At 46.6% G+C, this 19,610-nt stretch overlaps 2 protein-coding genes and 1 long non-coding RNA gene across 22 annotated transcripts in view, besides 17 other annotated features; 1 reads left to right on the forward strand and 2 right to left on the reverse strand.

Moving 5' to 3' along the window:
• The window catches only part of NSD3 (nuclear receptor binding SET domain protein 3), a 112,568-nt gene extending 111,915 nt beyond the window's left edge, over positions 1-653 (reverse strand). For both annotated transcript variants that reach the window (NM_023034.2, NM_017778.3), the window contains exon 1: positions 181-653. The gene's annotated coding sequence lies outside the window, so the exon portion shown is untranslated. The remainder of the gene's footprint in view (positions 1-180) is intronic.
• Positions 1-791: an enhancer, noted in NCBI's record as "H3K27ac hESC enhancer chr8:38239137-38239927 (GRCh37/hg19 assembly coordinates)". NCBI's record gives its function as "activates a minimal SCP1, AML or CMV promoter by ChIP-STARR-seq in naive and primed H9 embryonic stem cells {active_cell/tissue: H9 hESC(naive and primed)}" and the evidence as "EXISTENCE:reporter gene assay evidence [ECO:0000049][PMID:30033119]".
• Positions 1-839: a biological region, named in NCBI's record as "H3K27ac hESC enhancer GRCh37_chr8:38239137-38239927".
• Positions 440-839: a silencer, noted in NCBI's record as "silent region_19121". NCBI's record gives its function as "represses an Ori minimal core promoter by ATAC-STARR-seq in GM12878 lymphoblastoid cells {active_cell/tissue: GM12878}" and the evidence as "EXISTENCE:reporter gene assay evidence [ECO:0000049][PMID:35858748]".
• Positions 813-19,610, forward strand: part of LETM2 (leucine zipper and EF-hand containing transmembrane protein 2) — a 27,097-nt gene continuing 8,299 nt past the window's right edge. For 4 of the 19 annotated variants that reach the window (XR_007060702.1, NM_001286819.2, XM_047421383.1 and 1 more), the window contains exons 1-6: positions 4,858-4,950; positions 6,332-6,412; positions 10,924-11,377; positions 12,480-12,623; positions 18,654-18,791; positions 19,235-19,435. Coding sequence is in view for 18 of the 19 variants with exons in the window: in NM_001286819.2 (NP_001273748.1) it covers positions 6,366-6,412; positions 10,924-11,377; positions 12,480-12,623; positions 18,654-18,791; positions 19,235-19,435 (984 nt within the window). In the remaining variant the exon portion in view is untranslated. Of the gene's footprint in view, positions 949-991; positions 4,763-4,857; positions 4,951-5,523; positions 5,889-6,331; positions 6,413-10,923; positions 12,836-15,297; positions 15,515-18,653; positions 18,792-19,234; positions 19,436-19,610 lie in introns of those variants that run through there. The other 15 variants (XM_017013056.2, XM_017013053.2, NM_001363204.1 and 12 more) reach the window with 15 other exon arrangements.
• Positions 870-1,019: a silencer, noted in NCBI's record as "silent region_19122". NCBI's record gives its function as "represses an Ori minimal core promoter by ATAC-STARR-seq in GM12878 lymphoblastoid cells {active_cell/tissue: GM12878}" and the evidence as "EXISTENCE:reporter gene assay evidence [ECO:0000049][PMID:35858748]".
• Positions 1,210-1,559: a silencer, noted in NCBI's record as "silent region_19123". NCBI's record gives its function as "represses an Ori minimal core promoter by ATAC-STARR-seq in GM12878 lymphoblastoid cells {active_cell/tissue: GM12878}" and the evidence as "EXISTENCE:reporter gene assay evidence [ECO:0000049][PMID:35858748]".
• Positions 3,502-4,132: an enhancer, noted in NCBI's record as "H3K4me1 hESC enhancer chr8:38242638-38243268 (GRCh37/hg19 assembly coordinates)". NCBI's record gives its function as "activates a minimal SCP1, AML or CMV promoter by ChIP-STARR-seq in primed H9 embryonic stem cells {active_cell/tissue: H9 hESC(primed)}" and the evidence as "EXISTENCE:reporter gene assay evidence [ECO:0000049][PMID:30033119]".
• Positions 4,133-4,762: an enhancer, noted in NCBI's record as "OCT4-NANOG-H3K4me1 hESC enhancer chr8:38243269-38243898 (GRCh37/hg19 assembly coordinates)". NCBI's record gives its function as "activates a minimal SCP1, AML or CMV promoter by ChIP-STARR-seq in primed H9 embryonic stem cells {active_cell/tissue: H9 hESC(primed)}" and the evidence as "EXISTENCE:reporter gene assay evidence [ECO:0000049][PMID:30033119]".
• Positions 4,133-4,794: a biological region, named in NCBI's record as "OCT4-NANOG-H3K4me1 hESC enhancer GRCh37_chr8:38243269-38243898".
• Positions 4,455-4,694: an enhancer, noted in NCBI's record as "active region_27248". NCBI's record gives its function as "activates an Ori minimal core promoter by ATAC-STARR-seq in GM12878 lymphoblastoid cells {active_cell/tissue: GM12878}" and the evidence as "EXISTENCE:reporter gene assay evidence [ECO:0000049][PMID:35858748]".
• Positions 4,715-4,794: an enhancer, noted in NCBI's record as "active region_27249". NCBI's record gives its function as "activates an Ori minimal core promoter by ATAC-STARR-seq in GM12878 lymphoblastoid cells {active_cell/tissue: GM12878}" and the evidence as "EXISTENCE:reporter gene assay evidence [ECO:0000049][PMID:35858748]".
• Positions 4,916-5,417: an enhancer, noted in NCBI's record as "OCT4 hESC enhancer chr8:38244052-38244553 (GRCh37/hg19 assembly coordinates)". NCBI's record gives its function as "activates a minimal SCP1, AML or CMV promoter by ChIP-STARR-seq in primed H9 embryonic stem cells {active_cell/tissue: H9 hESC(primed)}" and the evidence as "EXISTENCE:reporter gene assay evidence [ECO:0000049][PMID:30033119]".
• Positions 4,916-5,484: a biological region, named in NCBI's record as "OCT4 hESC enhancer GRCh37_chr8:38244052-38244553".
• Positions 5,345-5,484: a silencer, noted in NCBI's record as "silent region_19124". NCBI's record gives its function as "represses an Ori minimal core promoter by ATAC-STARR-seq in GM12878 lymphoblastoid cells {active_cell/tissue: GM12878}" and the evidence as "EXISTENCE:reporter gene assay evidence [ECO:0000049][PMID:35858748]".
• Positions 5,525-5,574: a silencer, noted in NCBI's record as "silent region_19125". NCBI's record gives its function as "represses an Ori minimal core promoter by ATAC-STARR-seq in GM12878 lymphoblastoid cells {active_cell/tissue: GM12878}" and the evidence as "EXISTENCE:reporter gene assay evidence [ECO:0000049][PMID:35858748]".
• Positions 7,864-8,365: an enhancer, noted in NCBI's record as "OCT4 hESC enhancer chr8:38247000-38247501 (GRCh37/hg19 assembly coordinates)". NCBI's record gives its function as "activates a minimal SCP1, AML or CMV promoter by ChIP-STARR-seq in primed H9 embryonic stem cells {active_cell/tissue: H9 hESC(primed)}" and the evidence as "EXISTENCE:reporter gene assay evidence [ECO:0000049][PMID:30033119]".
• Positions 9,144-9,645: an enhancer, noted in NCBI's record as "OCT4 hESC enhancer chr8:38248280-38248781 (GRCh37/hg19 assembly coordinates)". NCBI's record gives its function as "activates a minimal SCP1, AML or CMV promoter by ChIP-STARR-seq in naive H9 embryonic stem cells {active_cell/tissue: H9 hESC(naive)}" and the evidence as "EXISTENCE:reporter gene assay evidence [ECO:0000049][PMID:30033119]".
• Positions 18,464-18,965: an enhancer, noted in NCBI's record as "OCT4 hESC enhancer chr8:38257600-38258101 (GRCh37/hg19 assembly coordinates)". NCBI's record gives its function as "activates a minimal SCP1, AML or CMV promoter by ChIP-STARR-seq in primed H9 embryonic stem cells {active_cell/tissue: H9 hESC(primed)}" and the evidence as "EXISTENCE:reporter gene assay evidence [ECO:0000049][PMID:30033119]".
• Positions 18,470-19,610, reverse strand: part of LOC102723716 (uncharacterized) — a 12,924-nt gene continuing 11,783 nt past the window's right edge. Inside the window, exon 4 of the long non-coding RNA NR_188043.1 lies at positions 18,470-19,170. This is a non-coding gene — a long non-coding RNA (uncharacterized LOC102723716). The remainder of the gene's footprint in view (positions 19,171-19,610) is intronic.

The raw sequence follows: 19,610 nt of genomic DNA on the forward strand, positions 1-19,610 counted from the left end.
CCTCGAGCCCTTTCAGGCCACCCGCTTCCCCTTCCATTCCTCCTGGGGTCTGGCGCTCCATCCCTAGGTCGCCCCCTCCCCGTCGTTCCCTCCTCAGCCCTTCCTAGCACTACACACGCGCGCGCGCGCACACACACACACACACACACACACACATACACACACGCACACGCACTTTACCTTCAGTTTGTTCCATTCTAACCCCCCGGCCGTGTCAGTGCGATCACAGGAGAGACACGGAGGCCCGGAGTGGGGCTGGGGTGCGGGCAGCCGCTGGGGCCGCGCGAGGAGGAGGCGGAACCGAGCTAGGCCGCATGAAATCCCCGGGCTAGATTTTCCCCGCGCCGGACGCCTCTGCCATGGCGGCCGGCACTGAGGAGGGCCACGGCCGGGCCGGGCCGGGCGTGCTGCGGGAAGAGGAAGGCTCGGGAGGTGGGATGGGAAGGGGAGGCCGAGGGACGGGGGTCGCCGCGCCGCCGCTGCTGCCAGAGAGGAGCCTGCGGCTGGCAGCCCGGCCTGGGTAGCACGGTCCTCGGCGCTCGGCTCGGAATTCGCACGCCTCTCCGCGGCGACCTGTGCACAGCCCCCTCGGCCTCCGCCTCCGTGCTGGCCGCCGCCGCCGCCTCTCCCGCCGCCGCCGCGCACAAAGCCCCCCCACCCCGACTCTCGGGGCGCCGCCGCCGCCAAATCCTCAGCCCCTCATTGGCCGCGGGCCGCGGCGCCTGCCGGGAAATGCAGTCCCTGGTTCGGGACGCTGGGGCTCCGGAGGAAGCGGCGAGTCGGCGGGGCGGAGGGGGCGGGAGCGCGAACCAGGAACGCCCGCGGCAGCTAGCGTCTGGACGACTAGGGAGACCGGGCGAGAGGGCCGAGGAACGAGGGACGGGGAGGGACTGTACGTGGGAGAGTGACACACAAAACACCCCGGGAAGCCGGAGGAGGCGTGGAAAGGTGGGGCCCGGGAGGTAAAACTGGGATCGGCGCGTTCAGTGAGGCTGATTAAAGAACAACGCGCAACCAGCGCCATACGGCGCTCCTCAGGGTGACTCGGCTCTCTAGCTCTTAAGGGTTAGAAGCGACCCTCGCACGGTCCCCGGTGGGTCACCGCGCGAGGGCGGGGCAGTCCAGGCGACCCCTCGGCCGTCTCCCGTCCTACGGCTGTCAGGGAAGGGCTCCGGTTCCGGTAGGGTCTGCATTTGGAAAGCCGGGGGCGATGCAAGACCGCCTTGGCGTCGTCTCCCTCTCAGCCCCGGCTGAGCTGTCGGATGGTCCCCCTCCCCCGGTTGCAAGCAGTAGGAGACCCGGCCGGCGGCGCCGGCTCGCCGAGGGAGCGCCTCGACCTCCCCGGCAGGCGCCGGCCCCGCGCGCCTCTTCCTGCTCTGCTGCGGCCCGGAGGCTTGTGGGTAACCGGGAGGACGACGTCAGCGCCCGCCGCATCCCCGGGTGCCCCCCAGCCGCGGGGGACCGCGACGGCTCCGTGACCGTCACGTGCCGGAGGCCGCGGCTGCTCGCGGCCAGACCTTCGCATCGAGGGACGTGAGGGACATTTGTCCTAGAGGGCCCAAGATAAGAACGAGAGGAAGAACCGGGAGGCAACTCTCCGTCATCCTCTAGCCCCCCGCATCCTAGGAAACGTATGGAAAACAATGGAAGGTTAAGTGTGTGCACAGTGATCTGGCCCTGCAGGAGTGTGCCGACCAGGTGATATTTCCTGGGGCCTGGTGATAAGGATTTGGAAGGTTACAGCACAGAGACGTGAACGTAAAAAGGAAACAGAGGCAGCAAGCAAATGAGGAAACCGATACTCTGTTCTGAGAATAAAGCCATTTTACCGCTAGACGTCATACTCTGTAGACGTTATAGTGCTGGATGTCTTTGGTACTATTACAAGAAATTAGATATCTCTATCTTTAAATATCACTTAAGGAAATTAAATGATTTCTACAGATCAGTTATTTAAAAGGGCACTAATTATGAACTATTTTTTTTAAACGTAACCCGGTTAATACTAGATACTGAGAATTATCAGTATTGGCTGGGCGCAGTGGCTCACGCCTGTAATCCCAGCACTTTGGGAGGCCGAGGCAGGCGGATCACGAGGTCCGGAAATCGAGACCATCCTGGCTAAGACGGTGAAACCCCGTCTCTACTAAAAATACAAAAAATTAGCCGGGCGTGGTGGGGGGCGCCTGTAGTCCCAGCTACTCAGGAGGCTGAGGCAGGAGAATGGCGTGAACCCGGGAAGCGGAGCTTGCAGTGAGCCGAGATCGCGCCACTGCACTCCAGCCTGGGCGACACAGAGAGGCTATGTCTCAAAAAAAAAAAAAAAAATCTCATTACTATTAATCATTAAATATTTTTAAACGTATGCTTTAAGTAGTACCACAAGTTACAGCTATCAGTAAAAGCATACTTTTTATTTGTGATATGACATTTTAAAACACAGATGGCCAAAGCGGGCCACCAAGTCTAGCTTAATTCTATCTCCAGGAAAGAGGGATTAAATTGGTCTTTTTTTTTTTTCTATGAGCCTTTCTACCTCCATTCTTCTTTTTCTTCCTCCTGTGTCTTCCTTGCTTTGTTGATAAACTGTTGCCTTGACCCGGCACCTGGGTTTCTCCCTTGAGGAGAATCTAGTAAATTGTCCCCAGGGATCTTATATTAGCCTGTTTCTAATAGCTATGCTGACAGCAAGAGTTTAAAATTGGAGTTATGTGAAGTAGATGCATAGTCTTTTCCTGCAAAACATTACAAAATACAGTTAGTATACTTGATCTGGTGGCATATTTAGGAAAATGGCCATTAAAAATAATAGTTTACATTTTCAGTATCTAACATCTTCTGAGGTTTAGACGATGCTTACTGTTCGCCATAGAAAATGAACAAGGAGCTCATTAAGACAGCAATCTAACACAATTCTCAGGGCCAGAGTCATGGAGGAAAAAATATTTTTTTAAAAATTTCTCTTCTGAAGATTACATACAGAATCTTACATGATAAATCTCTTATCCTGAAAGTCAAAGAAATTGCCAAGTCTCATAACTAGGGAAGACGGACATTACTTTGAACAGATATCTCAATAAGAAGAGTTCTTAGCCCTTCCCTTTTTAGGATAGGATTGCTGACATATGGCCATGGTAGAAAACCTAGCTCATCTTTCAAATACTGGGCATGGAATCGTTCATCTGGTTTATGAATACTTAATGATATTCACTGTGCCTGGTTGTAAGTGAATACAATGCATGAATAAGAATATTTCCCCGTATAAAATGTCTCCCAGGGAACTGAAAATATTTTTGCATCCTTTAAGATCTTTTCCAGAAAAGTACCAGTACATGGTAGTGCAATGATTAATTTATGAAATTAGTGTGAAAACTACATCTACCTTCTAGAGCTCAAAATTTGACCACCAGGAATTTTCAGTGAGGGAAAAGTAAAGAGTCCAAAGCTTTGTAGATTTTAATACTGGTAAACAGAACGTGAAGTGAAACCTTTATGTGCAAAGTTGAACATCAGACATGCACAAAGAGACCTCTAGTGGCCAAACTGAAAAGTTTTGCCTATTTAACAGTGGATCTATTTGGTTATTAGCTGAAAAATCCTTTGTGGATTAAAAGCAGTCTGCATTTTTTACTGACGTTTAATACCGCCATCTTCCATTCTTAAAAATGTGTAGCCCAGATGAGTAAAGTCTGTGGTCAGCTCACATGTCAGGAGACGTATTCTCCGTGAGAAAGCGATTCCTTGCTGTATGGTGGTCGAGTAGAGCCACTAAGAAAAAAAAAATTTTTTTTTGAGGTGGAATCTCGCTCTTGTCGCCCAGGCTGGAGTGCAGTGGCGCGATCTCGACTCACTGCAACCCCTGCCTCCCGGGTTCAAGCGATTCTCCTGCCTCAGCCTCCAGAGTAGCCGGAACTACAGGCGCACGCCACCATGCCCGGCTAATTTTTGTATTTTTTTTTAGTAGAGACAGGGTTTCACCATGTTGGCCAAGATGTTTTCTGTCTCCTGACCTTGTGATCCGCCCGCCTCGGCCTCCCAAAGTGCTGGGATCACAGGCGTGAGCCACCGCGCCCAGCCTAAATAAAAAAAATTTTTAACTCTTTCTTCTGGAGCCAGATAAAATGGATGGGAAAAGATAACTGGGGAATGAGAATATTTCTAGATGTTTCATTTTCCCAAGATGGCTCAGTTGGCCATCCTAGGAACTGAAGTGCCCTCAAACCTGCAGTGTCTGTCATTTCACAGCTACTATAACATACATTTTATATGCTGAGATTTCTATACAAATTATTAATCACAAACAACACTTGTTAAGGGACCATTGAGAAAGCAAATATTTTTAGTAGAATACAGATTTCCATATGAAGATTTCACAGTATTCCAGCCTCTGGAGAGGAAGGGAGAGGAATGCGCTCCTTCCGATTCCCGCCCTTTCTGCGACACCATCAAATCCTCTCAGCGCCCCTCTGGCAGTTCCGGATTTGCAGGGTCCGAGGGAGAATACATCAAAGTGATGTCATTCATGACTCCGAAATGGTTACCATGGCGACTATCAGACATATTAAGCTGTCAGGGAAAGAGCCTGTTTAATCCAGTCTTCAATCACGGGTTTCCTCGGGCGTTAGCCACTGCCTGCGGAGTGTGGACTGGCAGAAAAACGTCACCTTCGGGCCCCCCAGCACCAACGCGCCTTAAACCAAGCCCCACAAAGAAGTCACTTCGGCGATGTAAACGCGACTTTGCGGCTTCCTGGGCTGCTAAGGTGAAGGACGCCCGCCCTCCCCAGAACTTGAGAGCTTATTGGTTGGCGATGTCGTCACTCAGAGTGACGTCAGGGGCGAGGAAAGAGGCGGAACCGTAGAGACTTGGCTTCGGGCCCTTCTAGCTTGGGGGTCCCGGGAAGGAGCTGGGAGGACCTAGGCGGCCGTTCCGCGGAGCCCGGCCGAGGAGGTAGGGGTGGGCAGGCCCAGCCCTCAGGCCGCGACCTGGTGGGCCGCGCTGCCTTTTTTTCCTCCGGATCCCGCTCGGTCCGCATCCTGCTCCTCTCATCAGAGCATGATCCAGGCTTCTGACAGCTTCCAGTTCCCACCGCGCTCTCCTCCACCCACGACCTCATCCCCGCCAGTTCCCCAGCACAGCGCGAACTCTGAAGCTCGGCCTCTCCTCCCCCTTCCCCGCACAGCGCGCTCCGTCCTTTTTTCCGTCCCAGGCCCTGCTTCTTTCTCCTCGGCTTCATTTCCAACAACCCCGATCATCCACGAGGGTCGTCGTTCCCGTGCCTGTCCCACCTCCGCACCAGAAAACCAAAGCATATCCCCCAGACCCCGCCGCATGCAGGCCGCGCACACATCAGGCGCGCCGAAGCCGCCGGGCGAGGAAGCCGAGGGCGCGTTTTGCTCCCGTGTGGTGATGGGCAAAGCCGAGGGAGCCCGGGAGCAGCGGGCGTGGGGCGGCGCCAATGCGAGTGCGAGTGGTGTCCGCCGCCCGGGAGCGCCCGGGCCCGAGCGGATTAACCGCCGCCTCAGGTGTCGTCTCCTGCCCGCGAAACACCACCCACCGTTAGTGTGGGTCCACAGGTTTCGAGCCCCTGTTGAAAATGTCAGCTCTGTGGCTAAGGTTTCTATTCAGGAGAGCTCCTGGAACTCTTTTCCCAACCACAAGAGAGCAAAGCTGCCATTGGGAATGTCAGCTCTTCTGCCGTTCCTCGCGGCCCTTAGCAGAAAAGCGCCCCTGGATGGAGATGGGTTTTGGTGAAGGTTATTTACAGGTTCAAAGCTCAGTTTGGGCTCTGGAGAATCAGTAGCAAGGGAAACAGTTTTACCTCCACTTGAGCGATTAGTAGGTTGCATGTCTACCTTCATCCACTGCTACATAAATTAGATTAGTGGGTACGTCCAATATTCAGGGTTTGGGACAACTTGCCTAAATATAGAACAATGCTAACTGAAAAGAAATTCAGAATATTCACTTTCTACCTATATTTTAAGGCTACAGATAGATATGTATTGCTCTACTTTTAAGTACTTGGCAATCATTGAAGTTGCATTACTAGATACTATTGACCAGAAATCAAAATGTCTCTGAAGATTGTACCATCTTCATGAGCATCATCATCTTAGAGATCATTACCGTTTGTTGGAATCTCAAAGTACCATTCTCAAGTCCAGAGCTACGAAAATATCTGATTGTTGGAAATGAGCTTGAAGGAGGTTTTGTACCTTAACTATGCAAATGTTCTACCTTTGCAATAGTTAAAAACACTAAAATCCTGATGTCTTTTAATTGATGTATTTTTAAACTACTAAATTGTTTACTTACTCCTTTTGCCTAGGTCCCTATGTTAACTACTTGAGACAAAAATAAATATGGCCTTCTACAGTTATAATTCAGTTCTGGCTATTGCTCGAACAAGGTAAGCATTGGAGTTACCCCCCAATATGAACGTAATTCTTCTTCTTCTTCTTTTTTTTTTTTTTTTCTGAGATGGAGTCGCACTCTGTCGCCCAGGCTGGAGTTCAATGGTGCAATCTCGGCTCACTGCAACCTCTGCCTCCCGGGTTCAAGCTACTCTCCTCCCTCAGCCTCCAAGTAACTGGGATTACAGGTGTTTGCCACCACCTCCGGCTAATCTTTGTATTTTCAGTAGAGACGAGGTTTCACCATGTTGGCCAGGCTGCTCTGGAACTCCTGACCTTAGGTGATCCGCCTGCCTTGGGCTCCCAAAGTGCTGGGATTACAGGCGTGAGTCACCTCGCCTGGCCTGAATTTCATCCTTCTAGATGGAAAGGATTGGCTTAGTACACAATTAAAAGTTTCTTGGAGGCTGGGTGCAGTGGCTCACACCTGTAATCCCAGCACTTTGGGAGGCCAAGGCGAGCGGATTGCCTGAGGTCAGGAGTTCAAGACCAGCCTGACCAACATGGTGAAACCCCGTCTCTACTAAAACTGCAAAAATTAGCCGGCATGGTGGCAGGTACCTATAATCCCAGCACTTGTGAGGCTGAGACAGGAGAATCGCTTGAACCTGGGAGGCGGAGGTTGCAGTGGGCCAAGACTGGGCCACTGCACTCCAGCTTGGGCAACAAGAGTAAAAATCCATCTCAAAAAAAAAAAAGAAAAGAAGATGTAGTTTTTTTTGTTTGTTTGTTTTTGTTTTCTTTTTTGGGACGGATTATCACTCTGTTGCCCAGGCTGGAGTGCAGTGGCATGATATCTTGGCTCACTGCAACCTCCAACTCCCAGGTTCAAGAGATTTTCCTGCCTCAGCCTCACAAGTAGCTGGGATTACAGGCATGCGCCGCCATGTCCCACTAATTTTTGTATTTTTAGTACAGATGGGGTTTCGCCATGTTGGCCAGGCTGGTCTTGAACTCCTGACCTCAGGTAATCCGCCAGCCTGGGCTTCCCAAAGTGCTGGGATTAAAGGCGTGAGCCACTGTGCCCAGCCAGAAGATGTACTGGTTTTAGAGTGACATCTCTGTAATTGATGAACATCACGTGAGGTCCTTAGATGTAAAGCGAGTAAAATGGCTGATGAACAGCCAGTCTTAGGGCATATTCGTGTCCCATTAGGGTCTGTTACCATTATTTATTTATTTATTTATTTATTTATTTTTGAGATGAAATCTCGCTCTATTGCCCAAGCTGGAGTGCAATGGCACAATCTTGGCTCATTGCAACCTCTGCCTCCTGGGTTCAAGTGAGTCTCCTGTCTCAGCCTCCCGAGTAGCTGGGATTACAGGCATGGGCCACCATGCCCAGCTAATTTTTTTGTATTTTTATAGAGATGGTGTTTCTCCATGTTGGCCAGGCTGATCTTGAACTCCTGACCTCAAGTGATCCACCCACCTCAGCCTCCCAAACTGCTGGGATTACAGGCGTGAGCCACCGTGCCCGGCCACCATTTATTTATTCACTGAGACTAAAGACTATTCACTGAGCACTTACTTTTCCCTTTTTGGCCATTCAAAGAGCGTTTTATCTTGGCATGCTTCAAAAATAGTCTGAGGCTGGCTGCAGTGGCTCACACCTATAATCTCAGTACTTTTGGAAGCCTAGACAGGAAGATAGCTCGAGCCCAGGAGTTCAAGAACAGCCTGGGGCCAGGCACTGTGGCTCACGCCTGTAATCCCAACACTTTGGGAGGCCGAGGCGGGTGGACCACAAGGTCAAGAGATCGAGACCATCCTGGCCAATGTGGTGAAACCCCGTCTCTACTAAAAATACAAAAATTAGCTGGACGTGGTGGCATGCAGCTGTAGTCCCAGCTACTCAGGAGGCTAAAGCAGGAGAATCGCTTGAACCTGGGAGGTGGAGGTTGCAGTGAGCCGAGATCACACCACTGCACTCCAGTCTGGGCAACAGAGTGAGACTCCGTCTCAAAAAAAAAAAAAAAAAAAAAAGAACAGCCTGGATAACATAGCAAGACCTCATCTCTACAAAAATTTTTAAAACTAGCTGGGCGTGGTGGTGCGGGCCTGTAGTCCTAGCTACTCAGGATGCTGAGCCTGGGAGGTCGAGGCTGCAGTGAGCTGTGATCACACCACTCTACTCCAGCCTCGGTTTTTAACACCTTAAGAACCAAGCCAGGCATGGTGCATATGCCTGTAATCTCAGCTCCTTGGGAGGCCGAGGTAGGAAGATTGCTTTAGCCCAGGGGTTTGAGGCCAGCCTGGGCAACATAGCAAGACTCTGTGTCTTAAACAGAAAGAGAAAAAAAAGAGCCGGGTGTGATGGCTCACACCTGTAATCCCAGCACTTTGGGAGGCCAAGGCAGGCAGATCACTTGAGGTCAGCAGTTCGAGACCAGTCTTGCCAACATGGTGAAACCCCGTCTCTACTAAAAATATAAAGATTAGCCAGGTGTGGTGGCAGGCACCTGTATTCCCAGATACTCGGGAGGCTGAGGCAGGAGAATCATTTGAACCCAGGAGGCGGAGGTTGCAGTGAGTCAAGATCGCGTCACTGCACTCCAGCCTGGGCAACAGAGTGAGACTCTGTCTCAGAAAAAAAAAAAAAAAAAAAAAGAACCAAGACAAATTTTTTATTTTTGTTTTTTTGTTTTTTGTTTTTTGTTTTTTTGTGAGACAGAGTCTTGCTCTGTCACCAGGCTGGAGTGCAGTGGCGCAATCTTGGCTCACTGCAGCCTCCGCCTCCTGGGTTCAAGCAATTCTCCTGCCTCAGCCTCCCGAGTAGCTGGGACTACAGGTGCACTCCACCACGCCCAGCTAATTTTTGTATTTTTGGTAGAGATGGGGTTTCACCATGTTGGCCAGGATGGTCTAGATCTCTTGACCTCGTGATCCACCTTCCTCAGCCTCCCAAAGTGCTGGGATTACAGGCATGAGCCAGCGTGCCTGGCGACAAATTTTTTTTGCTTTTGTTTTTGGTTTTGTTTTTGGCATGTTCTAAAATAATGAATATTGCATATGCATTTAATTCTATAGCTGTTGAGAACTTGTGTTGATTTCTTCCACATGAGCCTAGGAGGTCATGGCTGCAGTGAGCCGTGATCATGCCACTGTACTCCAGCCTGGGTGACAGAGTGAGACTCCTCCTGTCTCAAAAAAAAAAAAAAAAACAAAAAAAAAAACCAAAAAACTGAAAGAATGGAAAAAGACATCTCTTTGCCAGTAACTTTCTTTGCCAGTATCTGTCATATTTTTATTTTATTTTATTTTAGTTTTTTTTTTTTTTTTTTTTTTTAGACAAGTCTCGCTTTGTCGCCAGGCTGGAGTGCAGTGGCACGATCTTGGCTTATTGCAACCTCTGCCTCCCAGGTTCAAGTGATTCTCCTGCCTCAGCCTCCCGAGTAGCTGGGACTACAGGCACGTGCCACCACGCCCAGCTAATTTTTGTATTTTTAGTAGAGATGGGGTTTCACCAAGTTGGCCAGGATGGTCTCGATCTCTTGATCCGCCCGCCTTGGCCTCCCAAAGTGCTGGGATTACAGGCGTGAGCCACTGTGCCTGGCCCATATTTTTATTCTCAAACAATCTGATATGGTAGTTTAACTGCAAACTGTGGGCTGTTGCAATACCAGAAGCTAGAGACCCTTAATTGGGGTGCCCAATTCTAATTTTTTTTTTTTTGAGACGGTGTCTTGTTCTGTTGCCCAGGCTGGAGTGCAGTGGCATAGTCTTGTCTCACTGCAACCTTCACCTCCTGGGTTCAAGCGATTCTCCTGCCTCAGCCTCCCTAGTAGCTGGGATTACAGGTGCATGACACCACACCCGGCTAATTTTTGTATTTTTAGTAGAGACAGGGTTTCACCATGTTGGCCAGGCTGGTCTTGAACTCCTGACCTCAGGTGATCCACCTGCCTTGGCCTCGCAAAGCGCTGGGATTACAGGCATGAGCCATCGCGGCCAGCCCAATGTTCTAGAAGAATTTAGGTGAAGGGTATTTCAGCTGTAAGTTCCTCTCATTTGAGGGGTTCAAAGACACTGCATAGGCAAGGCGGTATTATGTGACTGGTTAATTCCTACAGTGACCATCAAATGTTTCTTTGAAACAATATTCCTTGGCCAGGCATGGTGGCTCATGCCTGTAATTCCAGTACTTAGGGAGGCCAAGGCAGGCGGATCACTTGAGGTCAGGAGTTTGAGATTATCCTGGCCAATGTGGTGAAAACCCGACTCTACTAAAAATACAAAAATTAGCTGGGCATGGTGGCCTGTGCCTGTAATCCTAGCTACTTAGAAGGCTGAGGCAGGAGAATCGCTTGAGCCCAGATGGCGTAGGTTGTAGTGAGCCGAGATTGCACCACTGCACTCCAGCCTGGGCAATGGGAGTGGAAAAAAAAAAAAGCTGTTTTATTTTGACCAGATGTACTATCTATTTCTTTAATAATATGTGCTTTATGATAGTGTGTGCTTTGTAATAGTATGTACTTAACTCAGAGGATGTTGCTTTTTATTCCAGATTCCCTAGCCATTTTGTCCATCCTACCTGCTCTTCTTATTCCCCATCATGTGCATTTCTTCACTTGCCAGATTCCCATTTAAATAAGACATGTATGAAGAACTATGAGAGCAAGAAGTACTCGGATCCTAGTCAGCCAGGCAATACAGTACTTCACCCAGGAACTAGACTAATACAAAAGCTACACACATCCACTTGCTGGCTGCAAGAAGTTCCTGGCAAACCTCAGCTGGAGCAAGCCACAAAACATCCACAGGTGACAAGCCCTCAGGCCACAAAAGAAACTGGCATGGAGATTAAAGAAGGCAAACAATCTTATAGACAAAAAATCATGGATGAACTAAAATATTATTACAATGGATTCTACTTACTTTGGATTGACGCCAAAGTTGCTGCCAGAATGGTTTGGAGGCTGTTGCATGGACAGGTCCTGACCAGACGAGAGAGACGAAGGGTAGGCAAGAATCATATTTGAGAAAGAAAATGTGAAATTAAAATGAACTATTTGGGAACTCAACTATTTAAATTCAACGTAAACTTCATCTTAAAAATCCCAGAGTAGGAATAATAACTGCTGGTGAGAACCAGTTTCTTGTCTGCAACCGACTTACTGTACAACTTTAGTCAGTATTCTGAAATTTGTTATATATTTTCCTGTATAACGGTTTTTAAAAAAAACTTTTATTTTAGGTTCAGGGGTACATGTGCATGTTTGTAGAATAGTTATAATTGTGTTTTTTAATCTTTCCAAGAAGTTGAGGGGCTTCATGTTTCAACTGTTGTTAATATATTAAGCATATGCATTTTTAAAACCCAATTTTGGCTGGGCACGATGGCTTATGCCTGTAATCCCAGCACTTTGGGAGGCTGAGGCGGGCGGATCACTTGAGGTCAGGAGTTCAAGACCAGACTGGCCAGCACGATGAAACCCTTGTCTACTAAAAAAAATACAAAAATTAGCCGGGCATGGTGGCACGTGCCTGTAGTCCCAGCTACCCAGGAGGCTGAGGCAGGAGAATGGCTTGAACTTGGGAGGCGGAGGTTGCAGCGAGCCGAGATCGTGCCACTGCACTCCAGCCTGGAGTGAGATGCCATCTCAAAAAAACAAACAAACAAAAAAACAATTTTAAGTAATACAATGCTATTAAAGTATGGACCCTCTAACATAGATGAAGTCTAGGAGATGCCAATAATATTTTTATTGTCATAGATTTCCTTCAAGATAGCCCCTAAAAGTTACTTCAGAGCTATGGTAAACAGGAAAACCCTGCCTCTTCATTTTATAAACAGCTGCAGAAAACCTGTCTTGGGTTTTTAACACTTTAAGAACCAAGCTGAGCATGGCACATATGCCTGTAATCCCAGCTCCTTGGGAGGCTGAGGTGGAAGGATTGCGTGAGCCCAGGAGTTTGAGGCCAGACTGGGCAACATAGTGAGACACTATCTCTTGAAAGAAAGAAAATGAAACAAGACAGGGTTTTTTTGGTTTTGTTTTTCATTTTTGTTTTTGGCATGCCCTAAAATAATGAATATTGCATATGCATTTAATTCTATAGCTGTTGAGAACTTGTGTTGATTTCTTCCGCCTGGTTCCATTTATGGTGTTCTTAATTGTACCCTTCATGGAATTCTTATTACCAGTGTTTCTGAAACTCTTCCCAGAGATGTTGCCATCAACTTTTGAAAGTGAATCCAAAAAGGTATGATTTTTTAACTTTAATAAAATTTAATAAACCTTATTAGAGGAGTTTTTAGGTTTACAGAAAACTTGGGCAGAAAGTACTACTTCTCCCCACCCAACCCCATCCCAATTTCTCCTGTAATTAATATCTTGCATTAGTGTGCTATATTTGTAATGATTAAAAAAACCAATATTGACATGTTATTATTAAAGCTCATACTTTAGGGTCCACTCTTCATGTTGAAGCATTTCTGTGGGCTTTGCAAATGCATAATTTCATGTATCCACCATCACAGTATCATACAAAATAGTTTCACTGCTCTAAAAATTCCCTGTGGGCCAGGCACAGTGGCTTATGTCTGTAATTCTAGCACTTTGGGAGGTTGAGGCAGGTGGATCGCCTGAGCCCAGGAGTTTGAGACCAGCCTGGGTATCATAGTGAGACCCCATTTCTACAAAAAATGCAAAAATTAGTTGGGCATGGTAGCTCATGCCTGTGGTCCCAGCTCCTTGGGAGGCTGAAGCAAGAGGATCACTTGAGCCCAGGAGGTCAAGGCTGCAATGACCTATGATAGTGTCACTGCACTCCAGAGGCACTGGGTGACAGGGGGAGACCCTGTCTCAAAAAAAAAAAAAAAAAAAAAATTCCCTGTGCTCCACCTATTTGTCCCTCTTCTTTCCTCCCCCAACCCATGGCAGCCACTGATCTTTTTATTGTCTCTGTAGTTTTGCCTTTTCCAGAATGTCATATAGTTGGGATCATACAGTGTGTAGCCATTTTAGACTGGCTTCTTTCACCTAGCAATATGCATTTCAAGTTCTTTTCATTGCTCAATTCTTTTTATCACTGAGTGATAGTCCATTGTATGGCTGTACCACAGCTTGTTTATCCATTCTCCTATGAAAGGACACCTCGATTGCTTCCAGTTTTTGACAATTATGAATAAAACTGCTATAGACACTTATGTACAGGTTTTTGTGTGGATGTAAGCTTTCAACTCATTGGGGTAAATGCCTAGGAGAGTAATTGGTGGATCATATGGTAAGACTATGTTTAGCTTTTAAGAAATTGCTAAACTGTCTTCCGAAGTGGCTGTATTGTTCTATATTCTCACCAGCAACAAATGAGAGTACCAGCATTTGATGTTGTCAGTGCTCTAGACATTAGCCACGAAACAGGTGTGTAGTGGTATCTCACTGTTTTAATTTGCAGTCTCCTGATGTCGAGTATCTTTCCTGTGCTTATTTACCATTTGTGTATCTTCTCTGGGGAGGTGTCTGTTTAGATCTTTGGTTGACTTTTTTTTTTTTGAGAAGGAGTCTGGCTCTGTCACCCAGGCTGGAGTGCAGTGGTGCAATTTCAGCTCACTGCAACCTCTGCTTCCCGGGTTCAAGTGATTCTCCTGCCTCAGCCTCCCGAGTAGCTAGAAATAGAGGTGTCCACCACTGCACCTGGCTAATTTTTGTATTTTTAGTAGAGATAGGGTTTCACCATATTGGCCAGGCTGGTCTCGATGTCCTGACCTCCGGTGATCCACACACCTCAGCCTCCCAAAGTGTTGGGATTACAGGCGTGAGCCACTGCATCCAGCCCTTCGGTTGACTTTTTAATTGGGTTTTTTTGTTTTCTGATTATTATTCTGAGTTCTTTGTATATTTTGGGTAAAAGTCCTTTATCAGATATATATTTTGCAAACGTTTTCTTCTACTCTGTGGCTTATCTTTTCATTCCTTAACCATGTCTTTCACAGAGCAAATGCTTTCAGGATTAATGACATCCAGCTTATCAATTTTTTCTTTCATGAATCATGCTTTTAGTGTTGTAGCTAAAAACTTATTGCCCAACTGAAGGTCACCTACATTTTTCTCCTGTTTTATTCTAGAAGTTTTACAGTTTTGTGTCTTAGATTTATGTCTGTGATCCATTTTATTTTTTTATTTATTTATTTTTTTTTTTTTGAGATGGAGCCTCGCTCTGTCGCCCAGGCTGGAGTGCAATGGTGCGATCTCGGCTCCCTGCAACCTCCACCTCCCAGGTTCAAGCGAGTCTCCTGCTTCAGCCTCCCAAGTAGCTGGGATTACAGACATGTGCCACTACACCCAGCTAATTTTTGTATTTTTAGTAGAGCCAGGATTTTGCCATGTTGGCCAGGCTGGTCTCGAACTCCTGACCTCAGGTGATCTGCCCACCTCAGTCTCCCAAAGTGCTGGGATAACAGACGTGAGCCACTGCGCCAGGCCGAGTTAATTTTTATGAAAACTGTAATGTCAGTATATAGATTCATTTCTCTCTTTTTTGTATGTGGATATCTAGCTTTTCCAGGACCATTTGTTGAAAAGATTTTCTCTTCTCCACTAAATTCTAACTTGATTTTAACTGTCAAAAGAACAAAGAGAACAGGCTGGATGCAGTGGCTCATCTCTGTAATCCCAGCATTTTGGGAGGCTGAGGTGGGAGGATTGTTTAAGCCCACGAGTTCAAGACCAGCCAGAGCAATATAGTGAGACCCCTGTCTCTAAAAAACAAAAATTTTAAACAAATTAGCCAAGTGTGGTAGCATGCACCTGAATTCCCAGCTACTTGGGAGGCTGAAGCGGGAGGATTGCTTGAGCCCAGGAGGTTGAGGCTGCAGTGAACTGAGATCAGGCCACTGCACTGCACTCCAGCCTGGGCAAGAGTGAGATCCTGTTTAAAAAAAAAAAGAATAAAGAAAACAGAAATCCACTGTTACCGCGGTGACTAGTGGAACAGTAGGTATGATTTAGTCAGCCCAACAGACAGTTCAGCAGCCCCTGAGAAGAGGGAGCCTTCACTGAGTGTGGCAGTCACTGTGCCGGTGAGAAAACAGAGGCAGCTCCTTCCTTCTCCCCGTTCTGTGCCACTCTACTAGACAGCGTTGACAGCATATGGTAAGAAAGTGTGAACAAAACATTATGAGAAGACAAAAAGTGCAACTTTTTTTTTTTTTTTTGAGACGGAGTCTCGCACCATCACCCGGGCTGGAGTGCAGTGGCACAATCTTGGCTCACTGCAACCTCCGCCTCCCGGATGCAAGCAATTCTCCGGCCTCAGCCTCCTGAGTCGCTGAGATTACAGGCGCCTGCCACCACACCCAGCTAATTTTAAGGGCAACTTTTAAATCAGTAAGATTGGAAACTTTTTCACAGAAAAGGTAACTTTGGAACTGAGACTTAAAGAGTAAGTGGCATTTTACCATGGTCTGGGAAAGGTATTCTGGATAAAAGGAATAGCATTTAACATGGCTCAGTGGCATAAGAGAGTATGATGTAATCAGAGACCACTGGTTGGTTATTTGTGGTTGAAGTAGGCAGTTCCAGGGCATCAATGACAGGAAACAGACAAAGTGATGTGTTGGGGTCAGGTTGGAAGGCATCCACCCACTTAAGGAATTTAGGCTTTCCCTTTCACCATGGTGAATAATGGAAAGGGAACGTTTGAAGCAGGGTAGCTGGGTGGATGACATGATTAGATCTATGTTTTGGAGGAATAATTTTGCTGGCAGGAGGGGCAGCAGAGGGTAGAGCCAAGGAAGGGAAACCAGCTGGAATGCTAGCCCAAGAGAGAGATGACAGAGAATACATTATGAAATTGACAATAAGAATAAAGACTTGAAGGCCGGGCGTGGTGGCTCATGCCTGTAATCCCAGCACTTTGGGAGGCCGAGGTGGGTGGGTCACTTGAGGTCAGGAGCTCAGTACGAGCCTGGCCAACATGGTGAAACCCCATCTCTACTAAAAATACAAAAATTAGCCTGGCATGGTGGCACGTGCCTGTAGTCCCAGCTACTTCAGAGGCTGAGGCAGAAGAATCACTTAAACCTGGGACGCAGAGGTTACCAAGAGCCAAGATCATGCTACTGTATTCCAGCCTGGGCGACAGAGTGAGATTTTTGTCTTAAAAAAAAAAAAAAAGAGACTTGAAGACAAATTCGGGATACCTTCACAGGATAAATCAAATTACAATATTTGACTGCCTGGCAATGTTTTAATTTGCTTACATTTAAAATAATCAGCATCTAGAATTAATGCCATAACATTCCAAGGAAAGTATTAGTGAATTCAGGAAGATGGGGGGAATAGAGGAAGTGATTTATTTAAATGTTACCTCTTTCCTGAACACCACTCATTCCCTGAAACATACAAATATGTCTACATCATGGCCACAGTCTCAGAAAATTCTTGTTTGCTTTGTTCCATGGAGAGAGGAGCTTTCTGTTTACATCAGATCACAGCACCATGTATTTCTCTTTCATAGCACTTACCCATTATGCTTCTATATTAATGTGAGGAATTGTGGGATTATCATTAGTCACTAAAGTTTGTCTCTCCCACTACACTAAAAGTTCCATGAGGGCAGGAATTCTTACCTGTTGTTGCTCATTTTATCCCCAGTACCTAATATGGTAGATGTGCAATAAATAAATGGATAGATGGATGGAAGGATATGGATGAATGAAATGGATGACTAAGTGGGTTCTTTTTTTTTTTTTTTTTTTTGAGACAGAGTCTCGTGCTGTTGCCCAGGCTGGAGTGCAGTAGCGTTATCTCGGCTAACTGCATCCTCCCCCCAGGTTCAAGCAATTCTCCTGCCTCAGCCTGCTGAGTAGCTGGAATTACAGGCATGTGCCACCACGCCCGGCTAATTTTTGTATTTTTAGTAGAGACAGGGTTTCACCGTGACAGGCCAGGCTGGTCCCAAACTCCTGATCTCAGGTGATCCAGCTGCCTCGGCCTCCCAAAGTGCTGGGATTACAGGTGTGAGCCACCTCATCCGGCCACTAAGTGGGTTCTGATCATACTATTGTGTGATTTTTTTTTTTTTGGCTGTATCTTTTAAGATCTATCTAAATATCAGTGATTCTTATGATTGGCTGATCATTAGAATCTCCTAGGCAACTTAAAAATATACGTAGATTCCTGTTCTTCTTTACCACCCTGAGTCCTGACTGTGGTTATTTTGAAAATGCTACCATACTACATTTCTGATGATTAACAAGGATTAAGAAACACCAGCCAACACAGTGTCCATTTACTTTTCTTCTGTGTAGTGCTGTGTTCATGTCTGTTAGAGCACTTAACTCACTGTATTGTAATTACTTATGTCTGTTTTCTAGTTAAACTGTAAGCCACATTAGGTAGAGTCCATTTCCTAGTTTTCTTTGTTTGTAAAGAAAAACCCAGGGCCACTCAAGGAGTTAGCTCAACTGGCAGACTGGATAGTTTGCACCAGGTTGAGATCGTATCTCATTCTTGTCTGGGCGCTGTGGCTCAAGCCTGTAATCCCAGCATTTTGGGAGGCCGAGACAGGCAGATCACTTGAGGTCAGGAGTTCAAGACCAGCCTGGCCAACATGGTGAAAACCCCTACTCTACTAAAAATAAAAAATCAGCGGGGTGTGGTGGCGTGTACCTGTAATCCCAGCTATTCGAGAGGCTGAGGCAGGAGAATCACTTGAACCCGGGAGAGAGAGGTTGCAGTGAGTCAAGATGGTACCTCTGCACTCCAGCCTGGGTGACAGAGCGAAACTCCATCTCAAAAAAAAAAAAAAAAAAATTAGCCAGGTGTGGTGGCACACACCTGTAATCCCAGCTATTCAGGAGGCTGAGGCAGGAGAATCACTTGAGTCTGGGAGGTGGAGGTTGCGGTGAGCCGAGATCGTGCCACTGCACCCCAGCCTGGGCAACAGAGTGGGACTTGATCTCAAAAAGAGAGAGAGAGAGAGAGAGAGAGAGAGATAGTATCTCGTGCTAAATAATTATAAAGCCTCCCATTGGGGGAACATTTTGGATCTATCAAATGCTTATGATTATTGTATTAGTGAGAAAGAAAAAGTAAGGAGACAAGTTCCAAATAGAGGCTTCTTTTTACTTGCTCTGGTCTCACAAACCCATTCATCTATGCCTGAGAATCACGTTATTACATGATGTAGGGATGAGCAATAACAAGGAGACAGTTATTTTTCTCCCATCTTTATCTACCAATTTACAATCACGAAGGATTGAGTAACTTTTATTCTTCTACCATTAAGGAAGAAAAACAGAAAAAGAAAATGGCTGTAAAGTTGGAACTAGCAAAATTTCTTCAAGAAACCATGACAGAAATGGCAAGGAGGAACAGAGCCAAGATGGGCGATGCCTCTACACAGCTCTCATCCTACGTGAAGCAGGTGTCCATCTTTTATGTAATGCCGAACAACTTCGGGGCTGGGCGTTCTATGAAAAACGCATGTCATCATGGATTTCCCAAATTGTTCACCATCTTTGGAATTGCAAATATCTAAATTATGAACATATAATATTGTAAACATTTAATATTATAAACATTGATAGTAGTTTGCAGAAAAGCCTGTCTTAAAGTAATCAACGTTTTGAAGACATTGATAACTTCTTGGAGAGAACAGTAGATTTAGAGTCAAACTTCCAAACTCCTGATTTTTCAGCTGATGTAGTTTGACTTCAGATGGATATCTTTTCTTTATACCACGAAGCCGATTTCCAGATGTCAGACAGAGTCCCATAAATGCTTTGATGTCTCTTTCAAATAGCCTATTGGGAAAGTTAAATTAAGTAGAAAACACATTTTAATTGGCCTTTTTGTCCCACTGCATAGGTCCAGACAGGCCACAAGCCCAGCACAAAGGAGATAGTTCGCTTCTCCAAACTATTTGAGGACCAGCTGGCCCTGGAACACTTAGATCGCCCTCAGCTGGTTGCCCTTTGCAAACTGCTGGAATTGCAGACATTTGGAACCAACAACCTGCTCCGCTTTCAGCTCCTGATGAAACTGAAGTCTATAAAAGCAGATGATGAAGTAAGAGCTTAACCATAGCTCTAGGGAATTAGCAAGGTTTTGGGACATACCTTAGGGTGCCTGTGGGATGAAGTGTGCAGTATTTTTTGTTTTTGTTTTTGTTTTTGAGACAAAGTCTTGCTCTGTCACCCAGGCTGCAGTGGCGCAATCCTGGCTTATTGCAACCTCCACCTCC

The sequence above is a fragment of the Homo sapiens genome, chromosome 8, assembly GCF_000001405.40.
Source record: "Homo sapiens chromosome 8, GRCh38.p14 Primary Assembly".
Taxonomy (NCBI): domain Eukaryota; kingdom Metazoa; phylum Chordata; class Mammalia; order Primates; family Hominidae; genus Homo; species Homo sapiens.